Raw genomic sequence first — 15,371 nt, 5'->3', positions numbered from 1 at the left:
TACCATTCTTGTGACTGGCCATCAAGAATTTTAAAAAGGTCTAACAATTAAACAAAAACCAAAACAAAACAAAATAAAACATGTCTGCATGTTGGTAAGGTATTTGTGTGATTTCCCAAAGGTATTAATTGTCCAGTCAATGTTTCTCAGAGTGTGTACTGTGAAACCTAAGTGCTAGAAGATGTTGAGAAGAGTCTGGAATAGAGCTTCTTAATGAAATATAGTTAGACAAAGATGTTAGTTTAACAAATTTAAACAGGCTCCTGCAGAATTGTGTAGGCCTTTGCTATGCTTTCTATATCTCCAAGAAAAAGGACATGCAGTGCTTTTTACTCAGGTGTAAACATGGAATCCGTTTCTTGAAGAGCATTTCATACAACGCCCCTGAGGAACACACTTTGGAAAATGTTCATCCCTGTCCAACTACCATGTTTGCGTGAGTTTATGATCTGCCTGCCGTTCATCAGCCTTTGTTATCAGGTATCCCAGGATTCTATTCTGTGACCAAAAAAAAAAAAACTAAAAAAAAAAGGAAAAGCTTTGCCCTTTTCTTTTCAAGGAGTAATAGGATGGAATAAATACCCAAAAGCAAATTTTTCCAAGAATGTTAGGTCTAATTCAAAATCAAAAGCCTCTGATTCATCTTCATTGTTGTATTTCTGAGGGCAGAGGACATTTGCCATTAACCTCTAACTGGATCTTAAAGTCCCTTCTGCTATGTAAATACATTGAGGCCATAACAAACTTGGGAGTGGTAACACTGTGGTTTTAGACAACTGACGTCAGATTTTACTGAAGCACTTTTATGACTCACTCTTAAGATGAGGACAAATGCTACACACGTAAACTGCAAATGGAGATGAGGGTCTGGTATCAACTAGAAGTTCATGTTAAGACCTGTCTCTCCCCCATGGGAACAGAACTCTAATTATATATATTGAAAGGCAGCAGCTGAAAAGCTCACAGTCCACTCACAGAGCAGCAACATGGCCGTACAATAGCCAGGCTCTCCCAGGACTAAATACTCAAATAAATGTTCTCTTTATTCAAGCTTGGGCTACCATTTCATTGCAGAGTTTTGTTAATTCAACAAATTCTATGAAACTGTCTTATCTGGTATGGATGTAGAAGAAGGCTTTCCTTCCCTCTTTTGTAACGTTCTTATTTTTCCATATTATAAAAGCCATGTAGATGGTCAGTGTGGAGAAAACACTCAGAAGTGTTCAGATAAAAATTTTTAAAAATCTATAATTACACTAATCAGAAATAACTGCTGTCAGTATCTTGGCATATCTAATTCAATATTTTCTTTTCAGATTGGTACATATTTATTTTGCAGAGGTTCTGAGAATATTTGTAAATTCTTTGTGGCCCTAATGCTATAGGCTAGAATTTATTTCAGGGGCAGATTCCCTCTTTTCAGAAGAGTTACTCTGATAAGCATATCCAGTAATATTGATACAAGTTAAACAAGAGGTTTTTTTTCATACTGTAGCCCTGAATATTGGTAATGTAATTCCACAACCTCAACTTTTACTATATTGTTACTAGTCCTAATGCATGGTCATCCTAATAGAAACGGCTGTTTACCATATACACTAAAATATGTCCTATTTAAAATGCATGATCCTGTTTAATCCTCACAATAACACTATATGGTATGTTTTACTATTATCCCCATTTTGCAGATGAGGAAACCAAGACACAGAGAAGATAAACAACTTGCCTGAAGTCACAAATGGTAAGTGGTGGAGCTGGGATGTGAACCTGGACATCCCAACTCCAGAGTCTGTGCTCCTTCTTTAGACAGAGATGTTAATTGAGGTGTTTAGTAAGGTAAAGGCTGTCTTTGCTGTGGGCTGGCTGTAAAAATCATAGTTATATTTGCTGGCATTATTTGGATTCCTTTAGCATGTTTAAATACAAGGGTGCTCTCCTAGGGGTAGGGGTGGAGGAACGAGGGGAGGAGAGAGAGAATAAAAGGAAACTATAGTTGGGAAAAGTGTGCCTCTCAACGTGGCAGCGGGCCAGAGGCCAGGAGCTAAGGAGGAAGGATGGACATGACTCCCTGTGAACACACATGGCCAGTGGATTTTAAGAGCAATGATACATTAATTCCAATTTGATGTTTTCCTTTCTTGCCTTGTAATCTGGCTATGCTATCCTCAAGCCATATTTAAACTTATTAAACCATGAGAGGCCCCTGTTAGCTGGTCTCTGAAGAATAAAACAGTGGTGGGTTGTTTCCATGTTTGGGGCTTCGCTGGACTGAAAAGAGGGGGAATTGCATATGGAAGGAATGACGAAACAGGCAAAAGTGACTGAAGAAGAAGCCTGGGGCAGCTACTGAGCAAGAACTGTGGGAAACAAAAACCAGGGCACTCTGAAGATCAGACATAATTGCAGAAAGGGCCAGATTTCTTGTAGTCCTGTAGAATGGAGCATGGATTTATGCCTGGATATTATGGGAAGGCATGGCCCCATAAATCTTGAAAACTGCAGATGCTCGGGTTACATATATAATACAAAACATGAGACATAGTTTATATATATATAATATATACACATATATATATACACATATATACACATATATATATAAAATAGATTTGACTTATAAAACTTGAATCACGTGCATAGTTTGATATTATGGCTTTTTATTTATTTACTTATTTTGAGACAGGGTGTTTCTCTGTCACCCAGGCTGGAGTGCAGTGGTACGACCACAGCTCACTGCAACCTCTGCCTCCCAGGTTCAGATGATCCTTCCACTTCAGCCTCCCGAGTAGCTGGGACTACAGGCTCATGCCACCACAACCAGCTAATTTTTCTAGTTTTAGTAGAGATGGGGGTTTTGCCAGGTGGCCCAGGCTTGTCTTGAACTCCTGGGCTTAAGCGATCCTCCCACCTCAGCCTCCCAAAGTGCTGGGATTACAGATATGAGCCACTGTACCTGACCTCATGCCTTTTTTAAACATAGCATTTTATTGTGGGTACTTTAATAATTTAAAGTAAATGTTTTTGAAAATGGAATTTTTCAATGGCAGAATGTTATTATAAAGATATGCCATAATTTTCACAATGATTTCCCTATTGTTAGACATCTAGGATGTTTTCCAATTTTTTGCCTATGTAAATAACAATGAGACAAGGATATCTATTATCACCAATTACTGGATAGCTTAGCAATACAATATGACATGAAAAAAATGAGAACATAAAAAAAGACAAAGTAATCTTTTTTGTAGATGATGATGATTAACATAGAAAATTCAAGAGAAATGATAAACAATGTGTAGAACTAATAAAAGAGTCCAGCAAAGTTGCTGGGTCCATGATTAACATAAAGAAATCAGTAGTATTCTTGTATATGAGCAATACTAATTAGAAAAGTATAGTCTATAAATTCAATGTTCATCAAAATCCCAAGGCATTTTAGAATTTACAAGCTTATCCTAAAATGTGTATGAAAGAGTAAAGAGCCAAAAATAGCTAAGATAATTTTGAGAAAGGAAGTTTGCTGTTCTGGACAGCAAGACTTAATATAAAAATATAGTAATTAAAATAGTGTCATAATAGTGTAGACATATATGAATATATTAATGAAATGGAATAAATTCCCAGAAACAGACTCTTAGATATATGCAAATCAGTATCCCACAGGAGTGATATTACAAATCAACAGGGAAAGGATGGGTTTTTAAGGGGTTCTGGGAAAATCGACTATCCAAAGAGGAAAAACATTAGATCCCTACATCACTTGATAAAGATCCAAATGTCAAATTCAAAACTTTAAGAATTTTAAGAGTATGTAGCAGGATACCTTTATGCAAGCAATTGATAAAAGATTGGGATCTAGAATATTTACACAACCCCTATAAAGCTGTATGAATAATAAAGCCATTTGGTTGGGTGTGGTGGCTCCCAATATTTTGAGAGGATGAGGCAGGTGGATCACCTGAGGTCAGGAGTTGGAGACCAGCCTGGCCAACATGGTGAAACCCTCTCTCTACTAAAAATACAAAAAATGATCTGGCATGGTGGTGCATGCCTGTAATCCCAGATACTGGGGAGGTTGAGGCAGGAGAATTGCTTGAATCCCAGAGGCGGAGGCTGCAGTAAGCTGAGATGGCACCACTGCACTCCAGCCTGGGTGACAGAGCAAGACCCTGTCTCAAATAATAATAATAATAATAATAATAATAATAATAATAATAATAATAATAAGAAAGCCATTCAATAGGAAAATTGGCAAATGAAATGAACAGGTAATTAACAGAAGTGGAAATTGGTCCATTTGTGTGTCCAGAAGTCCAATAGAGATATGAAAATATGCCCATTTCAGCCTCACCATTAGTCAGGAGAACATAAATTTAAGCAATGCCTTCCATCAGAAAGGCAAAAAAAATTAAGAAACCAGAGATACCAACTTTTGAGTATGATGTGGGGAAATAGGATCTTCTATGCTTTGTTAAACTATTTGGAGCAATCACTTTGGAAAGCAGTTTGTCAATATTTAGTAGGGCTGAAGGTACTCATAACAAAACAAAACTTACGAATAAATGTGAAAACATAAAAAGGCAATGAAGTTGATAGCCCCTGTCTATCCTCCTTGATAGGGATCCCCTTCCTCCTGCACCAAATCCTGGATTTTGTTTGTGTTAATCTTTTGTTTTGATTTGCTCTTTTATTGTTATATCAGGTAATCCCAGAGACTATAATGCTTAGTTTTCTATTGTCTTTGAGCTTCATAGCAATGATGTTGTACTGTATGTAATTATGGGTGCCTTGCTATTTTAACCTTATATTTTCTGAGATTCACCTAAATATATGTGTATACTCTGCAGTTCACTCATTTTTCACTACTAAAATAGAATACCATAATATCCAAACGGTGCTGTGAAGGACTTTCTTGAACACGTCTCCCAGGGCACGTGGGTGAGAGTTTTCTTGAGCTTCTCTAGCGTTTAGGTTAAGGTATTTATGTTCTAGAAGTGAAATTGCTATGTCAAGGGGTATGAGCTTCATCAGCTTCACTAGATAATACAGAATTGTCTACCAATACACATTCTTTTTTTTTCTTTTTTTCCTTCTACTTTTAAGTCAGGGGAACATGTGCAGGATGTGCAGGTTTGTTACACAGGTAAATGTGTGCCATGGTGGTTTGCTGCACAGATCGTCCTTTCACCTAGGTATTAAGCCCAGCATCTGCAAGCTATTCTTCCTACTCTCCCTCTCCCCACAGGCCCCAGTATGTGGTATTCTCCTCCCTGTGTCTATGTGTTCTCATTGTTCAGCTTCCACTTATAAGTGAGAACATGCGGTGTTTGGTTTTCTGTTCCTGCGTTAGTTTGCTGAGGATAGCAGCTTCCAGCTCCATCCATGTCCCTGCAAAGGACATGATCTCATTCCTTTTTATGGCTGCATAGTATTCCATGGTGTGTATGTACCACATTTTCTTTATCCAGTCTATCACTGATGGGCATTTGGGTTGATTCCATGTCTTTGCTATTGTAAAAAGTGCTGCAGTGAACATATGTGTGCTTGTATCTTTATAACAGAATAATTAATATCCCTTTGGGTATATACCCAGTAATGGGATTGCTGGGTCAAATGGTATTTCTGCATCTAGATCTTTGAGGAATTGCCACACTGTCTTCCACAATGATTGAACTAGTTTACACTCCCACCAATAGTGTAAAACATTCCTTTTTCTCTGCAACCTCGGCATCATTTGTTTTTGACTTTTTAATAATCGCCATTCTGACTGGCATGATATACTGTCTCACTGTTTTACCAATATACGTTCTTATCAGTAGTGTATGAGTTCCTATTGTTCCACATCCTCACTAACACTTGGTCTTATCAAAACTTTAAATTTCTATCAGCTTGGCTTGTATAAAATGGTATCTCATAACGGCTTAAACTTATATTTCCTCCCTAAAAATATGGAATATATTTGTGTGTTTTGCTATTCATGTTTTCTATGAAATGCCCATCATGTCTTTTGTTGTTTTCTGTTGATCTGTTTGTATTTTTCTTATTGATGTTCTGGAGTTACTTATATATTTTGGATACTAATTGATTTATGTGCAACCAATCTCTTGGGTTGTAGCTTTTTAAAAACTTTCTTTTCACCATATAGAAGTTCTTAATTCTTAACAAAGTTAAATAATTTTCTGTTTTTGGGGAGATAGGAGGAGTCTTGTCTTACTGTTTTTGTTTGTTTGTTTTGTAGAGACAGGGGTTTCCTTTATTGTCCAGGCTGGTCTCGAACTCCTGGGCTCAAGTGATACTCCTGCTTCATGCCTCCCAAAGTGCTGGGATTATAGGTGTGAGCCACCAGGGCCAGCCATCAATCTTACTGTTGTTTTAATTTGCATTTCTATATCTCTAGTATGGTTGAAAATTTTTTGGTATTTATTGGCCATTATATTTCTCTGTGAGTCTATGTACATTTCCTATTGATTAGTAAAAAGCTTTCATAGTTTATGGCTATTAGCTCTTTGTTATATTTGTTGGAAATATTTTCCCCAGCTTTTTATTATTTTTAAAATTTGCCTTCAATTCTCTTTATTGAGTATGTATTTAAACATATTTAAGCCTATCTTTTCTTTTCCTGCACTTAACACGTTACTCTACCTGAATTAATTTTATTGTAAACAAATGATGTTAATCAACTATCCCTCCTCTGGTCATTGAAACACTATTATTATACACTAAAGTTTTTATGTTTATTTGGATTTGTATATCATATTCATTGCTGTGACAGTTACAATCAGTTTATCAATTAGTTTATCAATTCTTGCCCGAGATAGGTACTTTATTATCTTTACAGTAAATTTTACTGTTGGGCAAGGCAAATTCCAGTAAATTTTACTGTTGGGCAAGGCAAATTCCTTTGATTATTCCTTTTTTTTTTTAAAAACACATCTCAGAAAGGCATTCTCCAAGTCTAATCAATGATTCCATGTTTCCCAGAATGTTATCATATCAACAAGATGAAGTTTCTCGATTTTCAAGGTATTAGACAATCACAGATTTTCACGGATTCAGGAGGAAGTGTTCAATACTCCAGGGTCAGACGTTGGGTTAGTCATTAATTCCATAGCAAAGGAGCATGAGTGTAGTGCTTGAGAAAATGTTGGACAGATGCTCCCTATAGCTCTGTAGAGTCATCCTCAGCCAGCCAAGGTGTTTTCTAAGACCACAGGACCTGCTGAAATAATTCTCTATCTACCTGGTGAATAATAAAGAACACAAGCTATCACAGACAATGCCATTATTCCTGCTAAAAACTGAAAACACTTTCATTCATGGATCAATGGATCTATTTGAGTGAAATAATATTGTGATATGGGAACCAATGTGGGGTGCCATCAGAATCCTTTCTCCATCGGGATGGTTAGAAAGAGACCCTCCCTTTGTTCAGGTCTGGGCTGAGTTTGAGTTTGAGGTTTGGCTATGAAGCAAAAGTTGAGTGGGACAATGTGTTATCTATTAGGCAGCACTAGTTTTTCCTTGACTCTGGAAATTAGACTTTGGGAGGGAACAGGAGGTTTTGGAGATGGTATGTGTTAGGGAGAGGTCAGTGGGCTCTGGTCAGGGGTGTGGTTGGCACAGACAGACTCCTCAGCCTCTACTGCAGCAACCACCAAGGTGCCCAAAGCCTTGCCACAAAGGAAAGCTCCACTTTTCTTTCCAGAGTAAAAAAATCAAATCACAAGAGGAAAAAAACAAAAATACTGCTGTGGTTCGGATATTTGTCCCCTCCAAACCTTATGTTAAAATTTGTTCCTCAGTGTTGGAGGTGGGGCCTAACGGGAGGTGTTTAGGTCATGGGGGTGGATCCCTCATGAATAGATTAAAGCTCCTACTCAAGGGTGAGTGAGTTCTCGCTCTATCAGTTTCAATAAGAGCTGGTTGTTAGAGCCAGCCTGGCATCCCCACTCCCACCCGCTCTTCTTGCTTCCTCTCTCACCATGTGATCTCTGCATGTGCCAGCTCCCCTTCACCTTCTGCTATGAGTGGAAGCCACCTGCAGCCCTCATCAGATGCAGATGCCCAATCTTGAACTTTTACAGACAGCAGAATCATTAGCCAATACTTTATTTATAAATTACCCAGTCTCAGGCATTCTTATAGCAACACAAAAGGGACTAAGACAAACAGTCCATTGAGTATTTGTTTATATGCGTAAATTTACTATAAAAAGAGTGTTCTAGTCTCTGTTTGGGTGCAGATGAAATCCTACCAAGGTCTAGCTATGGTCAAAGGTCCTCCTAGTTGGTCTGGAATAAGATCCCAGACACAGGCACCAGGAACAGTTGGATAGGAAATTATCCTGATCCACCCTGACTGGGGACAGAGGGTGAAATACACAATTATGTAAAATCTTATACTCATCCAGAATAAGCCACTTATCCCTCTCATACTTCAGTTTCTCACCTGTAAAATGAGAAGGCATACATCTATGTTCTCACATGCCAGAAATACTATTTGATAAGTAAAACAATACTTGCAAAAGCGCATTTGGTAAAATGATGCCAAACAAATTTAGGAAAAATTCTAGTCTGTCTATTTGCACACTTTTCTGTCCTTTTGAGTCACTCAGAAGCATGAACGTAACCATTAAGGGGAAGGGCACAGTTGGGCAAAACACTGAACACGGGCATTTGTGAAATAGTAATGTTTGATGACAATGCACAAATACTACTATCTGAAAGTGTTATGAATCATAACAATATCACCTGATGATTAATGGCTCTATTGGCTTCTTTCTCTGTGTGACCCAAGACACTCTGAAAAGCAAATATTTTGCATGGCCATTTCTTGATATATTTTTCAAATAAAATGATCCACAGCAGAGCAAATTAGTAGCAGTTGATAGAAAAGCAAAGAGGAGACTGAGCTATAGGTTGGAAATTAGTGGCCTCAGAACAAAATTGGACTTGCATATATATTTTGCTGAACCCCGCAATTTTGGATAGCACTGTGTTGGAAAATGTTTTAAACTGTCAATATTTAAAAACTGGAGATTTCACATAAAACAACTGATGAAGCCAAGTAGCTGCCTCTTTCTTTAGACAGAACTGTTCTTTTTTTTCCAGTTTGCCATACTCCACACTGCTCTCTATTGTCCTCTTCTGGTTCTCATTTACAATGCCTAACTGGTCATTTGGTTTGTAACCCCTCTAGTCATTTGAGTTGTAACCACTACCTTACATAATGCCAAAGAATGGGGAAAGGAGCCTTGATTTGGACTCTAAAAGGAGTCCTTAGATCTTGAAGAAAGTCCACGGAAAGAAAGCTAGTTCAACAACCTTGAGGCAAAATGTTTGTTTTTGAATAAAGATATTTTTCATAGACCTCATATTAGAGTAATAGTCTTTGTTTTGAAATGCATCCTAGTTCAATGGGCTTTCATTTAAATAACAATGAAAATATTAAGTTCACCTGATAGCTACTAAAACTCTCTTATGAGAAGAATCCACTTTTCCATGCAAACAGCAGCAACTACTAACCGTCCACCAAACTTTGCAAAAAGAAGACAATGCGTGGTGGCAATTAGAATATCACATCTTGGCCGGGTGCGGTGGCTCACGCCTGTAATCCCAACACTTTGGGAGGCTGAGGCAGGTGGATCACCTGAGGTCAGGAGTTCGAGATCAGCCTGGCCAACATGATGAAACCTCATTTCTCCTAAAAATACAAAAAATTAGCTGGGCATGGTGGCGGCCGGCTGTAATCTCAGCTACTCGGGAGGCTGAGGCAGGAGAATTGCTTGAACCTGGGAGGCGGAGGTTGCAGCGAGCTGAGATCACGCCACTGTACTCCAGCCTGGGCAACAAGAGCAAAACTTCATCAAAAAAAAAAAAAAAAGTATCACATGTTAAAACAATTGAAAATTTCAGGGGATTTGCTTAGTATTGCCACCACCTTCAAATTTGGAACAGAGTGCAAGGCAGAATACGTGTATACTTCAGAGAGCCAACAGTGTCAGCAGGATGCTACTGATTCACAGCAGATTCCCTGGCTCCACACCTGAGGAAAAGGCCCTTAGTAAACACACCTTACATATATAATAAGTGGGGAACATTGGGGTAGTGCTGGGGAAAGTGGCAGAATACAGGGACTTCAAAAAGTTTGCCTTGGCTGGGTGCGGTAGCTCATGCCTGTAATCCCAGCACTTTGAGAGATGGACGCGGGTGGACTGCTTGAGCCCAGGAGTTCAAGACCAGCGTGGGCAACATGGAGAAACCCGTCTCTAGTGAAAATACAAAAAACTAGCTGGGTGTGGTGGCACATGCCTGTAATCCCAGCTACTTGGGAAGCTGAAGTGGGAGAATCACCTGAGCCCAGGAGGTCGAGGCTGCAGTGAGCTGAGATTGCACCACTGCACTCCATTCTGGGCAACAGAGTGAGACCCTGTCTCAAAAAAAAAAAAAGAAAAAGAAAAAAAAAGTTTGCCTTGCTTTTTGTCTAGCCAGTGCTGCAAGCTGACCATCATTTGGTTGTTTCAGACGAGTTTCACTGGCATTTGCATGGCCTCTGCTGGTTATTGTGTGTCTCATCTCCAGGAGCTTAAACCCTTCTATAGAAGGCAATTCCTCAGTGACCCCTAAACCAGCCAGTAAGTTTGGTTTGCCTTCAATAGTTGACCTCAACTATGCATCAATAGGTACATGCAAACATCCAGCACTGCCATCATCTGTCTATGTAACCCTGGACCAAAAGCTACAAGAGAAAGCTTGAGTCTCTCTTCCCCATGTAAGAAAACCAACTGCCACCCCTCCAAAAATAATTAATGGAATACAAAGTTGATTTGAGTATTTTATTTATAAATGTACATTTACTATAAAAGCTGTTGCATTTTAGACAACTTGTTGTTTTTATTTTTTACTGTTTCTCAGAGGCATTTTAGAATAAATACTTTAAATGAAAGTTAGTATAACCGATATAGAACACTGGCCCACCCAGAGCAGTAACATCTTTTGGACGGACTCACATATGAGGTGGATCATTTCAGTTTGTTAAATCTTACACTGTGTATAGATAACTATAATATGTATTGCATTAATCACACTACATAGAAAGGAAATGTCATGGAAGTTCGCTAGTGAAAAACAAAAAGTTACCCATTATTTTTATTAAAGAGTAGGGACTAGCTTTTGGAGTATGAGAAAAAAAATCAGATATACTTCCTCAGGAACAATAAATCACTCACTTGCCTCACCTGTTTTTTAAACAAACACATTTACATTATAGCTCAATGGAGCAGAGCATTTTTTTTTTCCTGGGATCTCAAAGATTATTTGAAAAGAAATAGATCATACTCATTATGCTGCATTGGAAAAAACAAGATCTAGTCTGCCTAAGCTGCCATGTAACAGACTCCAAATGAAATATAAATCAAATATAAATAGAAACAGTTGGCAATTAGAATTTAGAAAATGTTGGAGATTATTCTGTGCTGGTGACTAGTGTTCATTATGGGAAAGCACATTTTGCAGTTGGAGAATGGGGCTTTATTTTTCTTGACTCGATTCTAGCTTCAATACATGTACAATGAGCCTCACTAAGAAATATGTATAAATGGGTTTGTGAAACCAGAAGGGAATGTGCAATATTCATGTAATCCTTACATAACGGATGGAGTTGCACATGTAAAAAGTATTCTATAAAAATCGGTTATGAATGACCATATTGTACATGTTTGTGCATTACTAGTGGTACTCTGCTAATATCATGCAAAGTGTAAACATCCACATTATCAAAATATTTAATAAAACATGCAGGTGGATAATCAAAATATTGGACTTGATCTGTACATTTTCAAAACAATTTTTCTTTTTAATTTTTTCTTTTTTTCTTTTTTTATTTTTATTTTTTCCTGTAAAACAGCAAACACCTCCATGAGAAGTCTTGGAAACTTGGAAGTGACTTCATCTCTCTTCAATGTACTGCATCCATAATTTATCGCCATGTGCAACAGCTTTGCGTTTTCTAAGGCACAATTTTTAATGAAATGATGTGTAGATTTCAATCTAATAACAGCTCATCCAAATGACAAATATGGTCGAAATCCCTCCAGTGGCTGAGGAAATTTCTGCACCTATATGGAACCCACATGCAAAGAACCCATCTAGCATGTAATAAATAATCGCTAGCCATACTCAATAAGACACGGAAAAATTATTGCTTACATAACAGAAAAACATCTACTTGACCCCCTTTTATGACTACATCAATCTATTAGGAGTGTATCCATAGTCTACATTCACAAAATGTCATCTTGACTTATTTGCCATTGATTTAAGGCAGAATAAATAGTCCCCCTTTCCCCAGTCTTAACAACAAAAAACAAAAAACCAGCCTGGAGATCTACATTGTGATGCTTTTTAATAACTTGACTCCTTTCTTGGCCAGCTGAAACTCGTCGCACAGGGCAGAAAATAAACCAGCTCTCCACAAGAGTTCCTCTCTAAACTTCTCCATGGGCAAGGTCCGGAGTTCTTGATAGCAAAAAAAGTGATGGAGAATGGAGGAGAGTAGGTATTCATTGAAGTGGGCAGGGCATAATCTGTGCTGTAGGTTCTTGCTGATCACAGACCAGGGGCTGACCACATCATATACCACATAGATTCTATTAAGATGGACTTAACGCTTTTCTTTGGACACCTGTGCTTCAGGCCCTTAAGGAGAACTTGCCAGCAAGGGTGAGCAGTGCTCACACCTAATGATGAACTTATCTCGGTGCCTCATCTTCCATATACCTCATGTTAAGTCTCTTATTGAAGACTCCTAATCTAGTGCCTCGAGAGAAGCAGGCAACAGAGGCCTGATGTCTGACATTGACTCTTTGGAAGATTAAACTTCCTCACAGATTTTGATAATGACTTTGGAAATGATGACTGAAATATTTCCCTCTGCTTTCTTCCTACCTTTGGGCAACGTCCCGGAGTGTAAATCTAGCTGATATTGCAAGGTTTTGCTTTATTTGATGAACCAGCCTATATTAATGACATAACTTCCAAGGTACACAGAATCTAATACTAACGGTGCAATAATTTATTGGTATAATTTCTACCTCCAAAGGTAAGTAACACAAATGTTTCAGGATTACAGTATATATTATCAAACTAGTGTCTTTGCATTAAAAACAAATTATAGCTCAGAGATAGAGCTTGCTGTGATGTTTAGTTTCTGAAATGCATTAAATTTATCCTTCAGTCTTAGAAGACCGTGTGTCTCAAATTGGCATGTCTTGCACTTTCTGCAGCTCAATTCTGTAAACATAAAGTGTTTAATTCCTAGACATTCTAAAACAAAACAGGTTTATTGCATCATTTAGCTAATTCCCAAAGAAGAGAATAACACATTTTAAACCATAAGCCTGTTTGACCATGCTAAAACCTTTTTTGAGCTATTCAGGATCATTACAACCCCATATTCTTTTGTGTATACTGTGCAAATGCAAAAAAAAAAAAAAAACCAAAACAATAAACAGGAAAAACATAAACACTGTGCTACGAAAGAACAGATACCACCTTTCAGAAGAGCCTTTCAGAAATTAGGTAAATGCTGAGAAGCCCCTGAGCTTGGGATTTTGTTAAGCAGTTGCCAGGGGACACTCTCAGTAAAGAAATGGTGAGTGATCCGGAAGCTTGAAAGCCGTGTCACAATGTTGTAGGCTGCCCGGCACCTGTGATTAAAACAAACAACAACAAACAAGAGTGGTAGGCAACATTTCTCGCTTCAGACATTTTAAAACCTCCCTAATGAGCAACTGCCTTTACCAAAGTCTCCTCTTCCTGGGGACCAGAAACTTCTCCCATCCTGCTACTTGAAGTGTGGCCCCAGGACAAGTAGTACTGGCATCACCTGGAGTCTGTTTGAAATCCGGGCTCTTAAGCCGCATTCCAGACCCACTTAACGTGGTGCCCAGGTGATTCACATGCACTGTGAAGTTTGATCAAATGCTCTGGATTGCCCCTAAACCAAAGCATCTCCATCAAGTTTTCTACCTTGTCCTCTGGGGCAAATAAGCAAGAAAATAATCTCTTTTCTCTCAGTTTCCTTAGGTTTTGATTTCTCTAAGAATAAGTACATTGTAATATGAGGAATTTGACATATGATCTAGAAATTAGATTGCTAGATTCAGCAAGTATAAATACGCAATACCCAGTACAGTATAATTTCAGATAAACGACACAGAATTTTTCAGTATAAGCATATCCATATGATATTTGGGACATACTTATGTTAAATCCAGAGCATGCAATATTTGGGACATACACAGACTTAAAAAATGTATTGTTTATGTGAAATTCAACTTTAACTTGGTTTAAAAAAATTCCACTAGGTATCTTATATTTTATCTGGTAAACCTATCTAGAAAGGATTGTTTGGGTTCCATATTTTCTGCTGAAACCTTCACAGGATTTCTCCTTTTTAGGCACTACAGTTGTGATGAGGCAATTGCAACATTTGAAAAGACCCCAGGGAGTTTGCATTAAATGCGTTTCACAAGAGTGAATGATGGAACAGAACACCATGTACAAAGACACAGTCATCCAACACCCAAGCACAAATGGCACAAGTTAAACATGTGACGGCTTGATGTATGACAGGTAATTTGTTTTGCACGTCCATTTCCATTTACATATGAACTTAAAAACTGTTTACATTGCTTTTAGGAGTTGCATTTTAATATGCTGGTATGCTATTTTTCCCTTCAAGAGAAAAATTTCATTTAAATGTGACTAGTTACTTGGAGAAAATAGGATTATATATTCAGGTTTTATTATTCCACAAAATGAAATTATTTTGTTTCACTTAGAATGCCTATGACGTAAACCACCCTTCACATCTATCCATCTCCACTCTTCTCAATTTAAATCAAATTTTAAAAAAGAAAGAAAAATGGTTTTTAGCCTTTTTTTTTCCCATTCTGACTCTTTTATTGCATCTTGGATATATTTGACCAATACAAGCATATTTATACTTCTCAATCCAAATTATAATCCCCTCTACCTATTCATTCCTAAGGTATATTTATTTCTTAGGACATCAGCAAAGAATTAAACAGTATTCTCAGATGTGCTGGTCATTCTCTCTGTCATGAGTTAACTTAATTGAAATTAGCCTAAAGATATTAATGTTATCTGGAAAAATGAACATGGGAGAAGAGTTAGGAAAATTTTGGAAAAAAATAATTGGAAAGAAGGTGACCCTTATTACCCAATATTAAAACATATTATGAAGCTACAATAATTAAAAACATTCAGTAATGGAGAATAAATAGGTTAATAAAACATAATAAAATATCCAGAAATAGACCTAAATATATATGGGAACTTAGTTTATGA

At 37.7% G+C, this 15,371-nt stretch overlaps 1 protein-coding gene across 54 annotated transcripts in view; it reads right to left on the bottom strand.

Moving 5' to 3' along the window:
• Nucleotides 1-10,820: 10,820 nt before the first annotated feature.
• The window catches only part of LIMCH1 (LIM and calponin homology domains 1), a 340,438-nt gene continuing 335,887 nt past the window's right edge, over nucleotides 10,821-15,371 (bottom strand). For all 54 annotated transcript variants that reach the window (NM_001289124.2, XM_011513642.2, XM_011513644.2 and 51 more), the window contains one exon: nucleotides 10,821-13,705. In NM_001289124.2, the coding sequence (NP_001276053.1) occupies nucleotides 13,680-13,705 (26 nt within the window). In that variant the 3' untranslated portion in view covers nucleotides 10,821-13,679. The remainder of the gene's footprint in view (nucleotides 13,706-15,371) is intronic.

Source organism: Homo sapiens, chromosome 4, assembly GCF_000001405.40.
Source record: "Homo sapiens chromosome 4, GRCh38.p14 Primary Assembly".
Classification (NCBI taxonomy): domain Eukaryota; kingdom Metazoa; phylum Chordata; class Mammalia; order Primates; family Hominidae; genus Homo; species Homo sapiens.
This window is presented reverse-complemented; position numbering and strand designations above follow the sequence as displayed.